The following is a 24,328-nucleotide window of genomic DNA, read 5'->3' on the forward strand; positions in this document are numbered from 1 at the left end:
AAAAAAAAACAAAAAAGAAATGTACAATTATTACACTTATAACAAAGTAATAACTCCAGGAAAAAAAACAACATAAAAATTGGTATCATATTACATCAGCAGAGTCTGTTTAATATCTTTAATAATTATATCATTTCTAAAGCTTTCCACAAAAGGGTATTACAGTTTTTTAACTTATTGCAAACATATCTTAAAAAAAAAAAGTCAGCCTTAATACTGAAACTATAACATGAATTTTAAATTATGGACACATACCATAAAACACAATGAAGAACATTTTATTTAAATAAAAAGAGAATATTTCGCTAAGCAATAAACCCAACATATTTCTTTTCTCTCCATATCTACATCCAATGGTGATATTTTATAGGCTAGTTTCTAAACAGATGCAAATTTTTACAAAGCGATGAAAGCCACGTTTTGCTCAGGAATACTACGGTTCACATACCATATAGGTTGTTTTACAGCAGATACTAGTTTGCCAAGCTTCAGATGGCAAAATGCTAAGTTGTGAATTGAGTATTGTCCAGCTAGTTGTTTCTCCTTGCCCTAGAGACTCTGGCAGTATGACTTTTGAGAGACTGCCTTATTGCTGCCACTTCTCTTCTCATAGTTGAATCCGTTATGGGAGAATATTCATGTCCTTAAGATGCAAGTCCGAGCAAAAAGCCTCCCACAAATCCACTGGATATCACAATGTTCTGCTTGATAAATTCTGTTGCCTGAAACAAAGTTTAAACAAAAATACTCTTAATTATGCTACAACAGGGATGAACCTTGAAAACATTATGCAAAGTGAAATAAGGTAGACAAAAAAGAACAGATATTACATGATTCTGCTCGTATGAGTAGTCAGAAAGCAGAATACAGATCATTAAGAGCTGGGGAGAGAGGGAAACTGAAAATTAATGTTTAATGGGCACAGAGTTTGGGATGATGAAAAAGTTCTGGAAATAGTGGTAATGATTGCAGAAAAATGTGAATATGCTTAATGCCACTGAACTGTATGCTTAAAAATGGTTAAACTGGTAAAATTTTTGTATAACTATTTTACCACAATAAAAAGATGCACAAAAAAAAATTCTTACTGAATCCAGAGCCAAGTAGCAGTTTCAGCTATTTTCCTCAATTCAATAAATATTCAGCAAAAATTCCTGTGCACCTACTACTGCAGGTATCAAATAGCATGCAAGATCCCAGAAATGTCCCTGACTAATTGAAGGAGACTAGAGAACACAGTCATGCCCAGTAAGCTCCTTGGCTATTGAGATAATAAGTATATGGGCAGCAATGATCTCACAAGTAAAAAGAAATCTACCTGTAAGGTAGAGATGAATGGCCCATCATCAAGTTATTAACACAGATTATTTAATAAATTGTCACAGCAGGCACAATGGTATTTATTAATAGTCCATTTAGCCAACAGAAAAAAAAATGTACAGGATCAAAACCAAAACAAATTACTTTGGTAAAATGTTTAACCAGAATAAAATCATGAGGAAGCCATCAGACAAAGCCAGACTGTGGGATATTCTGCCTAGAGGTGTCAAAAATGTCAGTGCCATGAAAGATGGGGGAATAAAATTAACAGATGAAAGGACTGTTTAAGACTAAATGAGACTTCATAGACATGATAACCGAAAACAATATATAATTTTTTTTGGGGGGGTGAGTGGGAACAGGGTCTCATTCTGTCAGCCAGGCTGGAGTGCAGTGGCACAATCACGTCTCACAGCCTCAAGCAATCCTCCCACCTCAGCCTCCCAAGTAGCTGAGACTATAGGTGCATGCCACCGTTCTAATTTTTGTATTTTCTGTAGAGACAAGGTCTCTCTCTCTTACCCAGGCTGATCTCAAACTCCTAGGCTCAAGAGATCCTCCTGCCTCAGCCTCCCAAAGTGCTGGGATTACAGGAGTGAACTACTGTACCTGGCATATAATTCTTAATTGGGAAAAAAAAAGCCACACAAGATATTTTGTAGAAAAATATTAATATGAACTGCATATTAGAAAATACTGGCTGGGTGTGGTGGCTCAAACCTGTAATGCCCAGCACATTGGGAGGCTGAGGCAGGCAGGCTGCTTGAGCCCAGGAGTTTGAGACCAGCCTGGCAACATGGCAAAACCTCATCTCTACAAAAATATAAAAATTAGCTGGGCATGCACCTGTAGTCCCAGCTACTTGAGAGGCTGAGGTGGGAGGATCACTTGAGCCCAGGTGCTCGAGGCTGCAGTGAGCTGTGATCACACCATTGCACTCCAGCCTGGGTGACAGAGCAAGACCCTGTCTAAAAAAAATTAACAAAGAAAGGAAATACTATTATCTCATGTTACATTTTTTTTTTATTAATAATGGCATTTGGCCAGGCATGGGGGCTCACGCCTGTGATCCTGGCACTTTGGGAGGCCGAGGCATCATGCACACCTGTAGTCCCAGCTACTTGGGAGGCTGAGGTGGGAGGACCATTTGAGCCAGGGGAGTCAAGGCTGTAGTGAGCCATGATGATGCCACTGCATTCCAGCCTAAGCAACACAGCGAGACAGAATGAGACCTGTCTCAAAAAAAACAAAAAAAAAAAACAAAAAAAAACAGTTGGCCGGGCCTGGTGGCTCACGCCCCTAATCCCAGCACTTCGGGAGACTGAGGCGGGTGGATCATGAGGTCAGGAGTTCGAGACCAGCCTGGCCAACATGGTGAAACCCTGTCTCTACTAAAGATACAAAAAATTAGCTGGGAGAGGTGGCGCGTGCCTGTAATTCCAGCTACTCAGGAGGCTGGGGCAGGAGAATCGCTTGAACCCGAGAGGCGAAGGTTGCAGTGAGCCAAGATTACGCCACTGCACTCCAGCCTGGGCTACAGGGCGAGAACCCGTCTCAAAAAAGAAAAAAAAAGTTTCTGAAGTGGCAGTTCCCACACAGTAAAAAAATAAAAAAGGGGGGGGGGCGTATTCATAGTTGTATAAGAGAATATCTGTACTCTTAGAAGATACATACTGAAGTATTTAGGGATGAAAAGTTATGACATCTTAAATACTTTGGAAAAAAAATTATCTGTGTGTGTCACCCACACACAGATAAAGTAAACACGGCAAATCATGAACAATTTGGTGAATAGATGAAGGGTATTGAGATATTCACTATATTTGTCTTTCAACTTTTTAACTGGTTTGAATTTTTTCAAACTAAAAAGTTGAGGGAGGTAAAAGGATAAAACAAAAACAAAGGCAAGGAAGTATTCAATTCCATTTTAAACAGTACAAAAGTAAAGGGTCAAATTACACCTGAAAACATTAATAAAATATATTAATCATATTAAAAAAACATATTTTCAAACTATCCTCAAGAAAAAAAATGTGTACTTTTAAGTTTTACTACACCTGTACATGTTCATTTATAAAGGCAGAGGAAATATGTTGAAAAGAATGTTCTTAGTTTTTACAACAAGATCAAAGTGAGCTAGAGATATGCAGGGGAATCTATGATAACCACCAAAAAAAAAAAAATAATGACTGATTTAAGTAGTGGTGTGATCTCAAATTTTACTTAACACTCTAGATATATAACCAAAAACACCATTTTTAAAAAAGACAGTAATCCCCCCCGGTCACATTTTCTGCTAAGGGATACCCATTAACCAAAAAAAGGAAAAAAAAAAAAAAAGTCAAAATTATATATCATCTTACTTCTTCAATTAAATTGTTGATTTCAGGTGCTGCTTTGTTCGCTCGTTTCTTAATCTGTCTTTTTGCTTTATTTACATCTTTTTCAACTCTCTTCCAGTCAATCTGCACATAGCCACTATGACTAGCAATCTGCAAAAAATATAATAAAAATTATCAATACTATACCAACTAGGTTGCTGACTATAATAGCCAAGAATATATAAACACTTAAGAGTTCTAGTAACCTATAAAACTTATAGCTAAGAAATTGCTTTTTCTCCACTAGTTTATTCATTTAACAGACACTAGTGCCTACCCTATGCTAAGTACTGAATAAGGGAGACATAAGCCCCTATCCTCAGAGAGCTTCAGGTCTGTTAGGGAAAACAGATATTAAGCATAAGTAAGTAACTAATTATTTAGATGTGATGAACAGTGTTTAGTACATGATGGGAAAATGATTCCAAAAACTGTCTTTTAACTATACTATCATTCTGTCACACCTTTTGGAATAGGGAATTAGTTAAAAAGATACAGAGATTATCTAGATTATATAGCTAATTTAAAAATACTTTTTAATTAAATAGATCTTTAATTATAAGGGATCATAAGCCAATCAGTTATTAGATCACTAAAGAAATTTAAGTAGCCTGGTAAGTATTTAAATAGCTCTCTTTACTTAAATTAAGAATACTTTCTGGTAATTGCTTTTGAAAGTAGAATATAAAACAAACTGCACTCTACACAAGTTTCATGCCATAAATCCTTTTAATAAAACTATAGCTAAATGCCTATCATAAGAAAAATTATCATATGGTACTACTGAGAGACTGCAATATCTGAACAGGAACAACAGTGTGTGTGCAAGCCAGTCCAGTAACTCAGTGCCTCCAAATAATAAAATAGCCATATATACCATTATAAATCACTTCTGTCAAGCTTATGCTTTCTTTGTAATTTTTTAGTGCATCACTTTTCTTTTGCCATTTGCACCCTGAATGAACACACTGACTTTTAGCCACACAGAAAATACTTTAAATAATAAAAATATCTGATTTTGCATAAACAGGCTGACTAGAAATCTTAGGTTCTATTTTGTCTGTGAATGACTCCATAGAAGAATTTGTTTATCTGCATTTCTTCTTGTATTTATTCATCTACTATCACTTCAAACTCCAGCCTCAGCAAAACAGTGGTGATCAAATCAAATGGCAAGTGAAGGCTTTTTCTGTTAGTACTTGATACAGCAATTTGAGTCACAGGCATGGAGGTGATGATGAACCTTAGGAAAATTCTACATATAAATTGAAAAGACTTCTTATTGGCTTGCACTAAGTAATCAAAATAGTTGATTACTTTGAAGCTTTTGCAGAATTTTACTTTTTGCTGAATCTTAACATTTCTTCTTAATCCAAAGCTTGTGAGAAGTACAAATATTTTATGTATGTATATGGCTTTATTTTTTGGTTAGAACAAAATTTTTTTTATTTTTGTTTTTTGAGACGGAGTCTCGCTCTGTCGCCCAGGCTGGAGTGCAGTGGCGTGATCTCTGCTCACCGCAAGCTCCGCCTCCCGGGTTTATGCCATTCTCCTGTCTCAGCCTCCCGAGTAGCTGGGACTACAGGCACTTGCCACCACGCCCGGCTGATTTTTTGTTTTTTAGTAGAGAAGGGGTTTCACCGTGTTAGCCAGGATAGTCTCGATCTCCTGACCTCGTGATCCACCCGCCTCGGCCTCCCAAAGTGCTGGGATTACAGGCATGAGCCACCGCGCCCGGCAGAACAAAAATATTATCTATACCACCACTCATCAGCAACTCCCAATTCAACTGTCATTTTCAAGACTTAACATTTTAAGTTACAAAGTTTTTTTTAAAAAGCTAATCTTCATGCCATGAGTTAAATTGGAAGTGAAATTAAAAAAACAAAAAACAAACCTTAACTATATTCCCTGGGTGAGACCCCTTATCCACCCCCCAATCCCCAGCAAATGAATAAAGGAAACCATTTTAATGAGACAGATTAAACAAATTCTCACAAACAGCATTCTATACACAAAATATTTTTACATAGCCATTTGTCACTGATAATTAGTAAACCCAGTGTTATCTGAGATAAAGATTTTGTATAATTTAAAGAATTCTCTACGTTTTGGGGGAAAATGTCAAACAGTTGCAAGGAAAATGAAAAACCTTGAGATGCTAAAGATACTAACGCCTCTTTGGAAGAAGACTTCCCTAACACCTCCAAGCAGACAGAGCGTCTTCCCTCTGCTCTCTCAGCACTAAACACACCCTTCTAGCTCAGCACTGACCATATGGGCTGTGAATCTCTATATCCCTAGAGTCCCAACTAATGCCAGATGAATGAGACATAGTAAATAAATGATAACAAAGACAATGAATAAAGACTAAATCTCAAAAGCTGTATTAACCAACCTGGCTCAAATAATGACTCTCAGCAACAAAATGGATGAGCTAGATTATCCCAAAGGACCCAACCTAGCATGTCTACTAACAAGAGAATGATCTTTGATGCTGGAGTGATCTACCATCACTGAACAAATTCCCTTGAGAATCTGTTCCCTTGCAGGAAAAATGAAAAACCTTGAGATGCTAAAGATATTAATGCCTTAAAAAAGAGAGAGAGAGATGAAGTCTCACTATGTTGCCCAGGCTGGTCTTGGACTCTTGGCCTCAAGCCATCCTCCTGCCTTGGTCTCCCAAAGTGCTGGGATTACAGTGAGCCACGGCACCCAGCTGAGAAGTACACTTCTGATCAAACCGAAGAATACCAGTCTAAATTGAGCACCCTGCTCCAGTACAGAGATGACCAAGGACAAGCAATCTGCCCCAAGTGGGGTTCAGGTACAACCAACTTAACCAACCAATACATACAGGACCCAATTCAGTCTTGTCCACACAAAATTCATCTGCAACTACAAGGAAATGCAAGCCAACAGACTGGGGAGGGAATGGGGCAGTGATGACTGCTTTTTGAACATTTGACTTCCTATAACACTAAAATATTTAATGGGATTACATAAGGTACTTTTATTAGAATAAAAGCTTCCAAGTTAAAAATAAATAAATAAAATAAAATAATTCCAGGCCGGGCTCCGTGGCTCACGCCTGTAATGTTAGCACTTTGGGAGGCCGAGGCAGGCGGATTACCTAATGCCAGGAGTTCAAGACCAGCCTGGCCAACATGGTGAAACCCTATCTCTACTAAAAATACAAAAATTAGCCGGGCATAGTAGCGCATGCCTGTAATCCCAGCTACTTGGAAGGCTGAGGCAAAAGAATCACTGGAACCCAGGAGGCAGAGACTACAGTGAGCCGATATCACGCCACTGCACTCCAGCCTGGGCAACAGAGTGAGACACTGTCTCAAAATAATAATAATAATGATGACAGAGGGGCTGGGCGTGGTGGCTCACCCCTGTACTCCTAGCACTTTGGGAGGCCAAGGTGGGCAGATCACTTGAGGCCAGGAGTTCGAGATCAGCCATGTCAACATGGTGAAACTATGTCAGTGAAACTAAAAACACAAAAAACTAGCTGGGTGTGGTGGCTCACACCTAATCACAGCTACTCAGGAGGCTGAGTTACAAGAATCAGGAGGCGGTTCTTGAACCCAGGAGGCGGAGGCTGCAGTGAGCTGAGATCTCGCCACTGCATTCCAGCCTGGGTGAAAGAGGGAGACTGTCTCAAAAATAAATAAATAAATAAATAATAATGCCAGAGGCCAGGCTCGGTTGCTCACGCCTATAATCCCAACACTTTGGGAGGGTGAAGCAGGCAGACTGCTTGAGCCCAGGAGTTTGAGACCAGCCTGGGCTATACGGCGAAATTCTGTCTCTACAAAAAATACAAAAATTAGCCAGACATGGTGGCATGCACCTGTAGTCCCAGCTACTTGAGAGGCTGAAGTGGCAGGATCGCTTGAGCCTCAGGAGTTCAAGGCTGCAGTGACCCATGGTCACGCCACTGCACTCCAGCCTGGGCCAGAGAGTGAGACTGTTTCCAGAAAAACACACACACACACACACACACACACACACACACACACGGCTTTCAGATGAAGATTCATGTTGGCCAGACACACACACACACACACACACACACACACACACACACACACACACACACACACACGGCTTTCAGATGAAGATTCATGTTGGCCAGAAAGCTCTAAACAGGTAGATGGGGCTTTTTGCTTGTGAACTTCACCATATGCTGATCTAATTGGGCTGTTTCACTGCGGGAAATTCTGCCCACCCCCAACTCCTTATCTTTAGATCATTTTTCTTGGACTGGTCAGATTTCCCAGAGAAGGGAAAGCCCAATCCACATGTCCATATTGTTTAGAGCTTTCCATCAACTTTTAGTGCTCAATTCTTAAATATGAGCAGACAACCAAGGATCATCAGACTTGGAGGAAGGCCTTTAACTTGAAAACTAGAAACCAAAATAAACAAGCAGGAAAAAGGTTGGGGAGGGGGAACAAAACACCTTAGACAAACAGGGACTTGGTAGGAAGAAGCTTAAAACACACACACACACACACACACACACACACACACACACAGAAGCTTGATCATTTATGTCCTCAGAGAGCTTAAAAAAGACAATGCACAACTGAAAGAGCTCTTAATGGCCAAAGCTGGTAAAATTTGAGCAATAAAAGAGCATTAGATTATAAACCAAAGTATAAAATAAATATCCATGAGTCCATATTGATATAAATAAATGACTGAATAAATAAGAGACAAACCTTCCAACAGACTATTTCTAAATAATTTATGTAGCTACTCTGCCTTCAGAAAGGTGGAGCATAATTACACTCCTGAAATGTGGGCTATACACAGTGACTCCCTTCCAAAGAGTACAGTATGAGGCCCGGCACGGTGGCTCATGCCTGTAATCCCAGCACTTTGGGAGGCTGAGGAAGGCGGATCACTTGAGGCCAAGAGTTCAAGACCAGCCTGGCCAACATGGTGAAACCCCATCTCTACGGAAAATACAAAAATTAGCCAGACAGTGGTGTGCGCCTGTAATTGCAGCTACTCGGGAGGCTAAGGCACGAGAAACACTTGAACCTGGGAGACTGAGGCTGCCATAAGCCAAGATCACACCACTTGCACTCCAGCCTGGGCAACAGAGTGAAACTCTGTCTCAGAAAAAAAAAAAAAAAAAAGGAACCCCAAGAGTACAGTATGAAAAGGGGGAAAAGCTGGTGGATCCTCTCATATGGGGATAGTAGGAATACTTTCTGGAAGGCTACTTGACAATCAAGAGGCTTAAATATATATATGTGTGTGTGTGTGTATATATATATATATTTTTTTTTTTTGAGACGGAGTTTCGCTTTTGTCACCCAGGCTGGCGTGCAATGACATGATCTCGGCTCACTGCAACCTCTGCCTCCCAGGTTCAAATGATCCTCCTGCCTCAGCCTCCCGAGTAGCTGGGATTACAGGCATGCACCACCATGCCCGGCTAATTTTGTACTTTTAGTAGAGATGGGGTTTCACCTTGTTGGCCAGGCTTGTCTCGAACTTCTGACCTCAGGCGATCCGCCCGCCTCGGCCTCCCAAAGTGCTGGGATTACAGGCGTGAGCCACCATGCCTGGCCTAAATATGTATATTTTTGCTTTGTCTTAGACAAGTGTGCAAAGCTGTATATAAATGGCTAGTCACTGCAGAGTTGTTTGTAAAGCTGAAAAAATAAACTGCTAGATGAACATTCTGTGTAGATGCTAAGAATTGCTTGTAGGACAGACTATTTGGATCAACACTCTGAACCTGCAGTCTATTAAGGCAGTCACTTCCAACTAGCATCTGGTGATCTAAGGAAAACTTTCAGTCTCTGCCACTTTCTAAGAAGCTTCTATCTTCGAATTAGAGAAGACATTCAACTATACCATCTCTCACAAGCCTTCTTGGTCTATAGACATGCAATTAAAATGGTTTCCAAGAATGTTAGTGCTCCAGTAATATGATGTGTTTCTAAAAGTCTTATTGAAGGGACGGTCTTCTAACCATTGCATTGGTTGAAACAATGGGTTGGAGGAGGACAAGTCACACATAATAAATACATCCCACCAATCTCTTAAAAAAACAGTATCCAAGGCCAGGCGCAGTGGCTCACGCCTGCAATCCCAGCACTTTGGGAGGCCGAGGCAGGCAGATCATGAGGTCAGGAGATCGAGACCATCCTGGCTAACACAATGAAACCCTGTCTCTACTAAAAATACAAAAATTAGCTGGGTGTGGTGGCAGGCGCCTGTAGTCCCAGCTACTCGGGAGGCTGAGGCAGGAGAATGGTGCAAACCCGGGAGGCAGAGCTTGCAGTGAGCCGAGATCGTGCCACTGCACTCCAGCCTGGGTGACAGAGCAAGACTCCGTCTCAAAAAAAAAAAAAAAAAAAAAACAACAAAACAACAACAACAAAAAAATAGTATCCAAGTATTAGCCATTAAAAATTTTTAAAAAAGATACTGCTCACTGCATCCATGAAGGAAAAGCAAGAAACAGAATGCTAAAGTCACATTAAAAGAACAACAGCCGGGCATGGTGGCTCACATTTGTAATCCCAGCACTTTGGGAGACCGAGGTGGGTGGATCGCTTGAGCTCAGGAGTTCAAGACCAGCCTGGGCAACATAGCAAAACTCCATCTCTACTAAAAATACAAAAAATTAGCCAGGCATGGTGGTGCATGCCTGTAGTCCCAGCTACTTGGGAGGCTGGCGTGAAGAAATCACCTGAGCCCGGGAGGTCAAGGCTGCAGTGAGCCAAGATCGCACCACTGCACTCCAGCCCAGGTGAACAGAGTGAGACTCTGTCTCAAAAAAAAAACAAAAAACAAAAACAACAAAAAAAACTTGTTGAAGTTGAAGAAATCTCCCAGAAAATAGACCAAAAAGATAGAAGTGGAAAATTGAAAAGATTATTAGTGTTCTACCAAATCTAAGAAAGAAAAAAAAAAAATTATTAGGCCAAGCAGTCAGTGGCTCACACCTGTAATCCCAACATTTTGGGAGGCCAAGGCAGGAGGATTGCTTGAGACCAGCCTGGGCAACATAGCAAGACCTCATCTCTATTTAAAAAAAATTAAAAATAAGTCTAAAACTGTAAAATAAATAAAGAAAGAAAAATTAGACAACTGGTCCAGGAGATCCATATAACTGGAACTACAGAAAAAAAGATGGGAAAATTAAAGAGCAGGATATCATTAACTAAATAAATATAAAGAAAATTTCCCCAAACTGAAAGGGCCCCTTGAGTTTCCAGCACAGTGGATGAAAATAGGCCCACAGTAAGGCACATCACTGGGAAAAATCAGAATACTGAGGACAAAAGAAAATCCTATAAGCATTAACTGAAAGGAAAAAAAAAAACCCACACATGTAAAGGTTCAGAAATTAGAATTACTTTAAACTTTTAACAGCAACACTGGAAGTCAGAAGACAATGGAGCAATACCTAAACACAGCTATTAATAAATTATCAAACAAATGTGAGGATAAAATGAAGAAATTTTCAGACATGCAAAGTCTCAAAAACTATAGTTCCCATTCTCATTTTCTACGAAAGCTATTGGAGGATGTGTCCACCAAAACAAGAGAATACATCAAGACATAGGATAGGCCAGGTGCAGTGGCTTACACCTGTAATCCCAACACTTTGGGAGGCCAAGGCGGGTGGAATGCTTGAGCCCAGGAGTTCGAGACCAGCCTGGGCAACATAGCAAGACCTCCCTATTATACAAAAATACAAAAATTAGCGGGCATGTGGCACACGCCTGTAATCCCAGCTACTTGGGAGGCTGAGGCAGGAGGATCCCTTGAGCCCAGGAGGCAGAGTTTGTAGTGAGTGAGATTGTACCACTGCACTCTAGCCTGGGCAACAGAGCAAGACTGTCTCAAAAAACAAACAAACAAACAAAAGACATAACATACAAGAAACAACCCAAAACAAAAAGGGAATATCCAGAAGGTATTGAAGAGAGATCCCAGGGTGAGAGCCGTATACCAGGCCTAGAAAGCAAACAGGACAGATGACTCTGGGACCAAGTTTGCCCAGACGGTTAAACTGATGAACTATTTGATACATACGACAATGAAAGGTGATTTACACAACTAGTAGTTGTCTAAAGAAATAATACTGGGCCAGGTGCGGTGGCTCACACCTGTAATCCCAGAACTTTGGGAGGCCGAGGCGGGCAGATCATGAGGTCAGGAGATCGAGATCATCCTGGCTAACAGAGCAAAACCCTGTCTCTACCAAAAAAATACAAAAAAGTTAGCCGGGCTTGGTGGCGGGCGCCTGTTGTCCCAGCTACTTGAGAGGCCGAGGCAGGAGAGTGGCGTGACCCTGGGAGGCGGAGCTTGCAGTGAGCTGAGATCGCACCACTGCACTCCAGCCTGGGTGACAGAGCAAGACTCTGTCTCAAAAAAAAAAAAAAAAAAAAAAAGAAAGAATCCTGGCTGGGCGCGGTGGCTCACGCCTGTAATCCCAGCACTTTGGGAGGCCAAGGCGGGTGGATCGCCTGAGGTCAGGAGTTCGAGACCAGCCTGGCCAACATGGTGAAACCCCATCTCTACTAAAAATACAAAAATTAGCCAGGCATGGTGGCAGGTGCCTGTAATCCCAGCTACTTCGGAGGCTGAGGAAAGAGAATCGCTTGAACCCAGGAGGCGGAGGTTGCAGTGAGCCGAGATTGTGCCATTGCACTCCAACCTAGGCAACATGAGCAAAACTCTTGTCTAAAAAAAAAAAAAAAGAAGAAGAAAAGAAATAATCCCGGCCGCCCGTGGTGGCTCACGCCTGTAATCCTGTAATCCCAGCACTTTGGGAGGCCGAGGCGGGTGGATCAATAGGTCAAGAGTTCTAGACCAGCCTGGCCAAGATGGTGAAACCCCATCTCTACTAAAAATACAAAAATTAGCGGGGTGCTGTGGCAGGCAGCTGTAGTCTATAATCCCAGCTACTTGGGAGGCTGAGGCAGGAAAATCACTTGAATCCGGGAGGTGGAAGTTGCAGTGAGCCAAGATTGCGCCACTGCACTCTAGCCTGGGCGACAGAGCGAGACTCTGTCTCGAAAAAAAAAAAAAAAAAATCCCAAACTTCCTAGTAGAAATAATGGCCAAAACCTTCCCAAACATGATTAAAGACATAAATTCACAGGCTCAAGAAGTTCAGTGAACTCCAAGTAATCAATCTCAGTGAACTCCATATAATGAATGATCTAACACAATTATGAAAAAAGGGAAGTAACTACACTCAGACGATTGAGGGAGAGGGAAGAAAGCATTCAGGTATGTGAGATTTGGGGAAGTATAGGGAAAACAAAACAGGTCAATAAATGACAGCTAAATTTTCCCATTCCATAATGGGAAGCCAATAGTTCACACCTAAAACTGAAAGATCAAGAAATGTCCAATTAACTTGTTTAGGGAAAAAGAGATTACTACCTTAAGAATCAGTTAAGAGTGCAAACTGGATGTCTCAAGGGATGGAAAAATGGGGGTAGTGAGAGAGGTGGAGGATTACTCTAATCTGTAACAAGCCTTGCACAAGTACTTGGCCCTTTGAATTATAAGGATGTATAACTCCAAAAAATTAAAACGAAGAGACTGTGTACTTTAAGATGGCAGTGTAATAAATATCTATTGGAAAACACTTGATATTGTTACTAGAAAAGCTTTAAGTTCTAAATAAACTAATATTTACCTTTAAATATAAGAAAGGTCATAAAAATATGAAAGTGGGCCTAAAGAATATTAGGCAATTAGCCTAAAAGCCATTTGTTACTTTATTTCCCCTTTCACTTTCCTTCTACTGAGTTTTCAAGGTTAGTCGTATTTGTGGGAAAAACTGGTTTGATGCAGATAGGTCCTATGTTGCTCTGCCTTAAAAACTTCAAAGACTACGTGTACTAAATGCGGAAAAGTGGGAGGTGGCAATGACAAAATGTGGATTTGAATGGTGCATATTGAGTGAACTGAAATGGACTTCTGAAAAACTGACATGCAGAGTGGATTAAAATATACACTTCTCTCCATTCTGTGAACATTTTAGGAAACTCTGCTTCAGTCCAGTACCCTTTTACACTAACAGAAATGACAACTGAGTCTTCAAAATAGCTATGGAATAAAATATGCTCTTGATTCCATATAAAACCAAGTCAAAATCAGCTTAAGTAAAATTATCATCTGTACTAATGCTGGCATATTCATCCAAAGAACTAAATTTAGGTATTAATCATTTTTTTTACCTCTTACCACAAGTAATAAGCAATTATTCGTAATAATGTCACCAAAAGAAAGAAAACATATATATTTTTAAAAGGCTGTTTAGTGAACAACTCAAAATCTGTGCTTCATACATACAAATCTAGTCCCCTTGTACTACAACTACACTAGTTATTACATGATCGATGGCTTAGGTGCTGAATTCAGATTCTGGTGGCTATGAACATCAATCATTTTTAAAATCTAGTACAAGTGACAGTTCTCTGTATCTTTAAAAGTGCTGCTCACATTCATTCGTAGAGATTTTCAATTTTTGGATTTACTATATTTGATCTTCAAGGAATGATATTTTTGAAAAAATACATGCCAAACAGACATGAATGCCAGATGATGCCCTGATAAACATCCTCTAATGGCAAAGCATTTTTAGATCTTATACTTACAAGAATATGAACAAAACTAAAACTTCAAATCTATCTGCCTCAGATATAAGATTATGGATTTTTGTTTTGTTTTGTTTTGTTTGGAGACAGAGTTTTGCTCTTGTTGCCCAGGCGGGAGTGCAATGGCACGATCTCGGCTCACTGCAACCTCCGCTTCCTGGGTTCAAGCAATTCTCCTGTCTCAGCCTCCCAAGTAGCTGGGACTACTACAGGCGTGCACCACCATGGCAGCTAATTTTTGTATTTTCAGTAGAGACGGGATTTCACCATGTTGGCCAGGCTGGTCTTGAACATCTGACCTCAAGGGATCTGCCTGCCTCTGCCTCCCAAAGTGCTGGGATTACAGGCGTGAGCCAATGCGCTCGGTAATGGCTGTCTTTTTAATAGCTGGGATCAAACTATGCTTAATAACTCAGAAGTATTTAAATTGTTATCTTTCAAGACAAAAGTCAGCTTCCAAAACTCATTGTAGCTCTTCCATAAACTGATGCCTAAAAGAAAAATTCCACCTTCTATGAAAGCAAAGGCAAGTGCTTAAAGCTCTGACATACCTGAAGAAGAAGAAAGCCACCACCTACTGCAGTTGCTGCAAGTTTTCCAACTTTCTGGAACAGAAATCCTGCACACCTTTAATCAAATAACAAAAGATGAAAACAATCAATTATGTACTAAACCCTCTCCCTCTTCTACTTTTCATTGCTTTCCTAATAAAATCTTATGTCTTTGCATTTCTTTTGATCACATCCCTTACCTGCTCAGAAACCTTCTCAGAAACCCCTCAGTTATACAGGCTAGTCAAAAATGCACAATCTAAAATGTCTGAAATTTGCTTCAAAATAAGGGACGGAGAGAAGAGGAGGAGAATTTATAGAAAAAAAAGAGCAGCTACTAAAATAACGACAAGTACTCAGGGGTTCATTATATTCCTCCTACATTTGTATAAGCTGAAACCTCCCGTAATAAAAGTGATGTTTTGCTTAATACAGTCAAGATGGTCCATACACCTGGTTGACCCCCACCTTCGGCTCCAACCCCATTAACCTCCAAATAGGTCATCACCTTTGCTCAAGCTATTAATCTCCCTGCTTCTAGGGGTTTCTTCCTAGCTCTACCTATCTAAAGCTTTCCTACCATTCCTACCCTTTCAGGTCCAGCTGTTGTTCCACTCAATAACTATACTTCAGCCCACATTTCTAAAGGCCTCCTTATCTATATCTACCTATTTTTATATTAAATGTTTTTTGTGTCTCATCTACCCTGTGTCAGCTCATACTTCTTTTGTCATTAATTCGCTCCTTCAGTGAGCTCACATTCCCTTCAGCATTCCAGATCCACACTGTGCAAATGAATCCTATATTTCTAACTCTAGCCTTCTGCACTGGGTTGAATGGTGTCCCCCTCAAAATTCATATCCTTCCCAAAACCTCTAAATGTGACCTTATTTGAAAACAGAGTCACTGCAGATGTAATAAGTTCAGATGAGATCATACTGGACAGGGTGGGCCTTTAATCCGATAAGGACGCACACAGAGGGAAGACGACATGTGAGGACAACAGAGGCAGAGACTGGAGTAATACGTCTACAAGCCAAGGAATGACAAGGATTGCTGGCAACCACCAGAAGCTAGCAGAGAAACATAAAACAGATTTCTCCCTCTGAGCCTCCAAGAAGGAACAAACCCTGTTGACATCCTGATTTCAGACTTCTAGCCTCCAGAACTGTGAGAGAATAAATTTCTGTTATTTAATTTAATTAATTAATTTATTTTTTAGATGGAGCTCGCTCTGTCACCCAGGTTGGAATGCACTGGTGCCATCTCAGCCCACTGCAACCTCCGCCTCCCGGGTTCAAGCAATTCTCCTGCCTCAGCCTCCTGAATAGCTGGGATTACAGATGCCCGCCACCACACCCAGCTAATTGTTGTATTTTTAGTAGAGACGGGGTTTCACAATGTTGGCCAGGCTAGTCTTGAACTCCTGACCTCTGGTGATCCACCCGCCTCGGCCTCCCAAAGTGCTGGGATTACCAGTGTAAGCCACCGCACCTGGCCTCCACAGTTCTATATATTTTATCTCCAAAACATTATTTGACTGTCTTCTCCTTTCCACTCTCAAGGTCATCATTACCTTGCTTCCAGAACACTTTAAGGGCCCTCTAACTGGTCTCAACACCTCCCATCTCTCCTAGCAAGGACCCATCCTAATAGTTTTAATTTTTTGTCATGATCAAAAGCCTACAGCTACCTACAGCAAAATAAAATCTCCTCAGCCTCCTATACATGTCTTGAATTGGTCTAAATTGCTAACTTGTTAGGTTAGTGCCTATTAACTGTTCCTCCTTAATATACACCATAATATCACATCAGTTTTACATCCTAAGAAAATTGCAAAAATTTACTACACTGAATATAGTCATTGCAACAAATCGCCTGTATAATTATTAGAGTTGTATTATACAGCTCCTGGACCAACACCTGGCTGTAATCCAAATGTGTGTGTTGTGTGTGTGTGTGTGTGTGTGTGTGTGTATGTATATATACATATATGTCAGCAACAAAGGCTCAGAAAAGGGAACAGAAAAGGCAGGCAGCAGCCACAATGTCCCTTGGACTGTGTTCCACAAGCATGTGTATCCATTGCTTGATGGCATCAGTCACTAAAATGAACCTATCTCCTGCTGCTCTGTCTCTAGGCTTTCCGAGCAAACTTCTGCCAATGATGGGGCTTCATCTACAAGGAGTCTGGTCTCCAAGGAGAAACAATGAAATGACTTGATAATTCTATTCTCAATTATTTTTGAGTCTGTTTTAAGACTGGGCTTTAGGCCCTGACTGACATTAACCAATCACCCATGGAACCAAATTGTGAGCTTATTTAAGCAGAGCCATACCCTGAATTACAGGGCTAGAGGAACTATCAGCCTGTGGAGAATTATCTGAATGACCAGGCCCTGACAGGCATCTCTCTTCTAATTGCAGGCTTTTTTCCTGCAGCAGCACTAGTAAGTACATATCATGAATAAATGCCGCACCTCTGCACCACAGAATCTTCACAATGAGTACTTCTATCATAAAATGGCATTTGCAAAAAAAAAGGCATAGAAGAGTGGGTCATTATTCCAAGGTGCATGTAAAACACAAATCAAAAAACTCATCGTTATACTTATCAAGTGGAAACAGGTAAATATTTCAATTAAATCTATGTAAGATGAATTTAAATAAGAATCTAAGAAAAAACGCTTATGCACAAGTTAAGTACCCTCACTAACTCCAAAATTTCTCTACAGTCACGAACATTTTCAAAACAGTCAAATTTGTTTCTGCCCCTTGTTATCTGGCTAGTTTTTTTATTATAAGAACAGAATTAGATCCACAGTAGCCATTGTGTTATCACGTGGTCTGAAATGTTAACTGGTCAGGCTGATGGTTATTAACTACTTCTTAATGGACTCCACAATATTATCAAGTAAGCAATCAGACCTTTAAACACAGAATTAACGTTCTACAGCTCTTTTTCAAAGAGTTATCATAATCTGAACGAGCCCACAAAAAACAGAATCATCTGTATCATCACCAATAATTCATACTGAGCATTTTACACTGCTCTGTACAGGGCTGACAATACTAGAGGCCAGTTCTACCGTGGGAGTTTCTTAGGTTTTTTCAGCAGTTAGCACTGAATGAAATGTAAAAATTTACATATAATTAACTCATATATTTCTTCCTATCTACTATCACTGAATCAGATCCACGACATTTGCTGAACATGAGAATGGGGAAATTATATAAAGAATCAAAAGAAGGATGAGGAGGGAGAAGAGGAACAGTGGTGGGCATGGGGGAGGGGATCGCCAAAACTCAACAGGGAGCCTGGGAATGTAGATTACATCAATTTTAACTCAGAGAAAAGCCTCTTCTGGAATTAACAGTGTAGACCTACTGCCTGTGCACGGTGATTCTTGCCCATGTATGAAAGGACAGCAGTGTCAGGCCCCCAAATGAAATTTAATGAAAAAGACGTTGTTCTCACCAGCCAGTAACGCCACCCATTACAATCTGGGTAGCTACTGAGTATTTTTCTACCATAGGTCCCGAACTGTGGCCAAACACTCGATTCCACCACTGGTGTCTTCTTGCATACTCAGTTAAATCCAACACTTCATAAGAGTCGTCATCACTTTCATAGTCTTCAAAATAGCAAAATGCAAAAAATAAATGTAGAGTCAATCAAAAGTCAGAAATGTTCTATACATCTTTTTAAAAATCTGTTACAACTCATTAGTTCTGGCCTACAGCTAAAAATGCCCACATAGAAACTACTGACTTTATTTAACTCAATTCTTGAGACCAGGGCCTCAAGAGTAAAGGACCCTGCAACAATGACCCCCATCTGCTTTCCCAAAGGCCCGGGGACCAGCCTGGGGTCACGAAGCCAGGGCCAACTCAGAATGACACAGTAGTGAGGGGTCACCCCCACCTCCAAACCTTAGTAGGGTCAAGGTCAGAGCAGGGTCCATTTTCATCAGTGGGAGGAATGGGGGTGGGGAGGGGTCCTCCTGAGAGAACTAGTCTGGAGCTCAGCGAAATCACTTGAGTCCAGACGTTTAAAAAAAGAAAATAATACATTTGAAGATGGGAGATGAAGGGCCGGAGGTGAAGGTAAGGCAGGAGGCAGGTAGGGCTGTGCTGGGGGTGGGGGTGGCTCTCCGCTTGAGTTCCGCAGAGAGGGGAGGAAAAAGTCTAGCTCGGAGGGGGTGCTCGAAGGGGCTGCCTTAAAAAAAAAATGGAGCTCGAAGAATCCTAGGGCAGGGGAAGGAAGAGGTGCCATAGGAGCAAGGTCGAGAGCTGTGAGCCGCGTCCCAGATACCACTTCGGGCCCTGGCCGCTCACCTTGGGGAGGGGGGTTCCGGGTCGCCATGATACCGCCAGCGGCCAATTCTGGAGTGGTCCCCACCCGCCCTCCTCTCCCTGGCACTTTAAGGGCCGCTCTAGGCCAGGATGGAAGTCTATGGTCTCTTTTTTCCTCCTTCTCCTACTCCAGGCGCGTAGTCCTGTCTCCGCCCCCTTCTCTCAGCGCAGGACCTTCTGCCTTCTGCGCAGGCGCGAAACTCCGGAATGTGGGGAGGGCCGGGCGGATCATAGCCCCGCGAGAGCGTAGGGGACTTGTAGTCCGTTGCCTTCCGCAACTAGGAAGGGGGAGGGACCGCCCCTCCTAGAATTTCCGTAACTTGAATTTGATTATTTTGTTTTAAAAGAGCCTTAAGGGCTGAAGGAATGGGGTGAAGGGCGCCACATGGTGGTACAAAGGGAGAACCAGCTGGGTATTGACAAAGACTCTCTCCTTGACCAAACTTTAGTCAGGAGGCTCCTCTGAGCTGTTTTTGACTGGGTCTCCTCCTTGGGTCGTCTTTGACCTGCCTAGTCCATTTGTGGTAAGAATGCAGTTAAGTCAGTTTAGTAAGAACTCCCCCACCCTTAATATCGAATCACCCTCAATATCCGATCGAATTCCTCAACCCCACTCTTGATATCTGATCACTCTGCCACCAGCAAAAATCCTGTTAAATTGGCTTTAGCAAGAATACCCCTACCCTTCATGTCTACTCTTGGTAATCTTCCACCCATTGATCCATTCACTCTGATCATTTACTATAAATTCCCTGCTGTATTCAGAGTTGAGACCCATCACTCACCCCTATTGCCATAGTCTTTGTTTTATGAGAAAAGGTATTGCTCTGTCACCAGGCTGGAGTGCAGTGGCGCTATCATGGCTCACTGCAGCCTCAAACTCCTGGGCCCAAGAGATCGGCCCACCTCAGCCTCCAGAGTACCCAGGACTCCAGGCGTGCATCACCACTCCCGGCTAATTTATTTTTATTTTTTGTGGAGAGTAGGTCTCCCTGTGTTGCCCAGGCTGCTCTTAAACTTCTGGGCTCAAGCAGTCTTCCTGCCTCTGCCTCCCAAAGTGCTGGGATTACAGATGTGAGCCACCATGCCAGGCTGTATTGCAATAGTTGTGATACCTATTGCAGTAGTCATGAACAAAGTCTTCCTTACCATTTTAAGAAGTGTCCCATAATTTTTTTGTCAGGCCCATCACTTGCATACTGTCAGAATAATTTTTTAACAGTATTTTGAACATTACCAGAATTCAAATGCTTGAGGAAAAAGGCTTGTAAAAGATAAGAGAAACCCTGTTTCAAGCCATACTTTTCTAAGGGCGCAAGCGCTCACAAAGGGACCACAAGTTTTCTAATGCCCTGCTGCTAGAAGTTGGAATCTGTTTACCTGCTCTCTCTCTTGAGTTCCTGCCAGGAATCCAAAGGAGGTAAAGAAAGGCCTAGAAACCTCGTAATTCCTGACCTGGCAAGAGGACATAATTTTTTAGTGTCATTCTTTTGTTTGTTTGTTTGAGATGGAATCTCGCTCTGTTGCCCAGGCTGGAGTGCAATGGCACAATCTCGGCTCACTGCAACCTCCACCTCCCGAATTCAAGTGATTCTCCTGCCTCAGCCTCCCAACATCCCAAGGAGCTGGGATTACAGGCACGTGCCACCACGCCCGGCTAATTTTTGTATTTTTAGTAGAGAGGGGGTTTCACCATGTTGCCCAGGCTGGTCTCGAACTCCTGATCTCAGTGATCCACCCACCTGGGCCTCCCAAAGTGCTGGGATCACAGGGGTGAGCCACCGTACCCGGCCAGCATCATTCTTATTATTTAAATCTGACAGAGGAACAAGGTCAAGGTCTTCACCCAGAAACCCCATGGGATTCTATGAATACAAAGCCATATTGATCACCAAGCAGCTAACCCAAGTCCACATAAACCAACCCAGAAACTTGTCTTGAACTTGCGTTGCACCCGCATCTGCTGTACAATTAAACAAAAGTCCTCTCAGTATTCATTTTAATGGAAAAACAAGGAATTCTGGCATAAATTGCATTACTTTAAAAATTGGCTTGCATAGATGCACTTGGCTTTTCAAATCCTGGCACTTTATTATTTCTTTTTACAATATGCCCATTTATTAATATTCTTATTTATTAATTACTTTTAATAGCAAACCACAATTACTTTTGCACCAACTTAACACATAGCTTGCAAGTTTATGTTTTGTCATTTGTTGACTGGGAAAGGAATTTTCCTAAGCATGTAAAATCCCTATAAATTGAATGGCTTACCTTCATTATCATTTGTATTATGATACTAATTTCTAGTAACTATTGAGTAACTTGTCTCCCTTTATTTCTTACCATATCTCTGCAACTAATTAGCCTGTTAGCTTCAATTATGTTTTATTTTAATTTAAAACTGATTGGAAAATCAAATTCTCTTTTGCTACGACCCAGTATAATTTCACTGTGTAGAGATAGCAAAAGCATGTGGACAATCCTGGCAATCACTTTATTTAAATTAATGTTCATGGAGGTGGTTTGCAAGGTTGTGTTTGAAATGCTTGTTCTCCGGTGCCATAAAGAAATAGCACTTGAACATAAATTTAATTTATTTAGTAAGGCCATTTTTACTTTTTGCAGAAAGGGAACACTCGCTAGCAGTTTTGCCACAAGAGTACACTGAACAAAGGACACAGGGTCATTTATAACCTGACGCGTCTACCTTACTGCTGTGTCCGGTTTCCACTGGCTGGAACGGGACCTCACATTCTGTATTTGTCTTGATTGGCTAGCAACTTGGAAGTTTTTAAAAGAGGCAAAGGTAGAGGAGAACAAAGGAAAGAGGAAGTAACTTGTGGAATGCTGAGAAAGATAAAAACACTTTTAAATAAGGAAGAGGAACAAGCTATGACCTAATGCTTGCTTGGACCAGTATAAGCATGCCAGGGCAAATATTGAGGCTAAATTGTAGGAGATAAGAAGATAAAATACATTGATTCCTTTATTATGGCTAGCAGATATTTAAGAATGTTAGCACAGGTCTTTGAATAAATTTTGCTTTTAAAAGAAGTTACCATTTATTCCTAATTAGACCGGGAGGAACGTCTTTGAAGAGGAACCTCTATTTTACTTTTTACAGTTGAGGGAAGAGGATGGAGGAGAGGACCACAAACTGTCTAAACACATAGCCAAAAAAGAACACAATTAAGATGAGAGATTGGGCTGGGCACCGTGGCTCACTCCTGTAATCCCAGCACTTTGGGAGGCCGAGGCAGGTGGATCACCTGAGGCCGGGAGTTTGAGACCGGCCTGACCAACTTGGAGAAACCCCGTCTCTACTAAAAATACAAAAAATTAGCTGGGTGTGGTGGTGGGCACCTATAATCCCAACTACTCGGGAGGCTGAAGCAGGAGAATCACTTGAACCCGGGAGGCGGAGGTTGCAGTGAGCCGAGATCACACCATTGCACTCCAGCCTGGGTGACAAGAGCAAAACTCCATCTTGAAAATAATAATAATAATAATAAATGAGAGCTGGGCTTGGTGACTCATGCCTGTAATCCCAGCACTTTGGGAGGCCGAGGCGGGAGGACCACTTGATGTCAGGAGTTCGAGACCAGCCTGGCCAACATGGTGAAACCCCGTCTCTACTAAAAAAAATACAAAAATTAGCCGGGTATGGTGGCGCACGCCTGTAGCCCCAGCTACTCAGGAGGCTGAGACAGGAGAATTGCTTGAACTCAGGAGGCGAAGGCTGCAGTGAGCCGAAATCACGCCACTGCATTCCAGCCTGGGTGAGACAGAGCAAGACTCCATCTCAATAATAATAATAATAATAATAAATGAGAGACTGAAGTATCTCAAAAGTGAGGATATTGGAAACTTTGGACATTAATAGGGTGGTCTAATGAATACAGACACACTGAAATAATGTGTTCATTCTTAGGCAATTAAGTTCATTGTGTTGCTGATCCCAAGAAACAACATTTTATCCAGACATAGTGACTAATGACTATATAAAATTTTTAAAACATTAGTGTAACCAAACCTATACTCACCCTGTGCCTCTTCAAACTCACACCTAAATTGAGAATGGGACCAAGGAATATGCCTTATTCAAGATTTTAAATCAGACCTTGAAAGTGATTAAAGTGATTATTTCAGGACGTTGGTGAAAAATTGTTAAATTGACTATATAGTTCTATAAGATTTACTCTCAATTCGCTAAATAGAAATCATAGGTCTATTTTGAAAGTTAAGTGAGGACTTACTGCATATTTATGTTTGTCAACGAAAAGAGTCAAACTCTGTAAAATATTTGAAGAGCTTTATTCTTAGCCAAATATAAGTGACCATGGCCTATGACACAGCCCTCGGGAGGTCCTGAGAACATGGGCCCCAGGTGGTCAGGATGCAGCTTGGTTTTATACATTTTAGAGAGGCATGAGACATCAATCAAATACATTTAAGAAATACACTGGAGGCCCGGCATGGTGACTCAGGCCTGTAATCCCAGCACTTTGGGAGGCCAACATGGTGAAACCTCGTCTCTACTAAAAATACAAAACTTAGCTAACCGTGGTGGCACATGCCTGTGGTCCCAGCTACTTGGGAGGCTGAGGCAGGAGAATCACTTGAACCTGGGAGGTGGAGGTTGCAGCAAGCTGAGATTGTGCCACTGCACTCCAGCCTGGGTGACAGAGAGAGACTCCATCTCAAAAAAAAAAAAGAAAAAAAGAAATACATTGGTTTGGTCCAGAAAGGCAGGACAACTCAAAACGGGGGCTTCCAGGCTGTAGGTGAACTTAAACATTTTCTGATTGAGAATTGGTTGAGTTTATCTAAAGACCTGGGATTCATAGAAAGGGAATGTTCAGGTTAAGATAAAGACTGTGGAGACCAAAGTTCTTTTGAAGTCTTATGAAGTCTTATAGTGGCTGCCCTTAGAAACAATAGATGACAAATGTTTCCTATTCAGATTTTAGTTAATTTCTTTAGGATTAGGAGGGTTTGGAAGAAAAATATCTAGCTATGTTAATATAGATTCTTTACAGATGCAAATTTTCCCCCA

The 24,328-nt window shown here is 41.4% G+C and overlaps 1 protein-coding gene across 1 annotated transcript, besides 3 other annotated features; it reads right to left on the minus strand.

Annotated features, from left to right (window-relative positions):
- Positions 86 to 19,306, minus strand: FUNDC1 (FUN14 domain containing 1). Its single transcript, NM_173794.4, has 5 exons — positions 19,252 to 19,306; positions 18,392 to 18,548; positions 14,914 to 14,989; positions 3,684 to 3,812; positions 86 to 722 (listed from the first exon to the last, which is right to left on the minus strand). The coding sequence occupies exons 1-5, from the start codon at positions 19,277 to 19,279 to the stop codon at positions 645 to 647; spliced, it is 468 nt and encodes a 155-aa protein (NP_776155.1). The 5' UTR covers positions 19,280 to 19,306; the 3' UTR covers positions 86 to 644.
- Positions 19,001 to 19,390: an enhancer, noted in NCBI's record as "active region_29565". NCBI's record gives its function as "activates an Ori minimal core promoter by ATAC-STARR-seq in GM12878 lymphoblastoid cells {active_cell/tissue: GM12878}" and the evidence as "EXISTENCE:reporter gene assay evidence [ECO:0000049][PMID:35858748]".
- Positions 19,571 to 19,620: an enhancer, noted in NCBI's record as "active region_29566". NCBI's record gives its function as "activates an Ori minimal core promoter by ATAC-STARR-seq in GM12878 lymphoblastoid cells {active_cell/tissue: GM12878}" and the evidence as "EXISTENCE:reporter gene assay evidence [ECO:0000049][PMID:35858748]".
- Positions 19,631 to 19,690: an enhancer, noted in NCBI's record as "active region_29567". NCBI's record gives its function as "activates an Ori minimal core promoter by ATAC-STARR-seq in GM12878 lymphoblastoid cells {active_cell/tissue: GM12878}" and the evidence as "EXISTENCE:reporter gene assay evidence [ECO:0000049][PMID:35858748]".

Source organism: Homo sapiens, chromosome X, assembly GCF_000001405.40.
Source record: "Homo sapiens chromosome X, GRCh38.p14 Primary Assembly".
Taxonomy (NCBI): domain Eukaryota; kingdom Metazoa; phylum Chordata; class Mammalia; order Primates; family Hominidae; genus Homo; species Homo sapiens.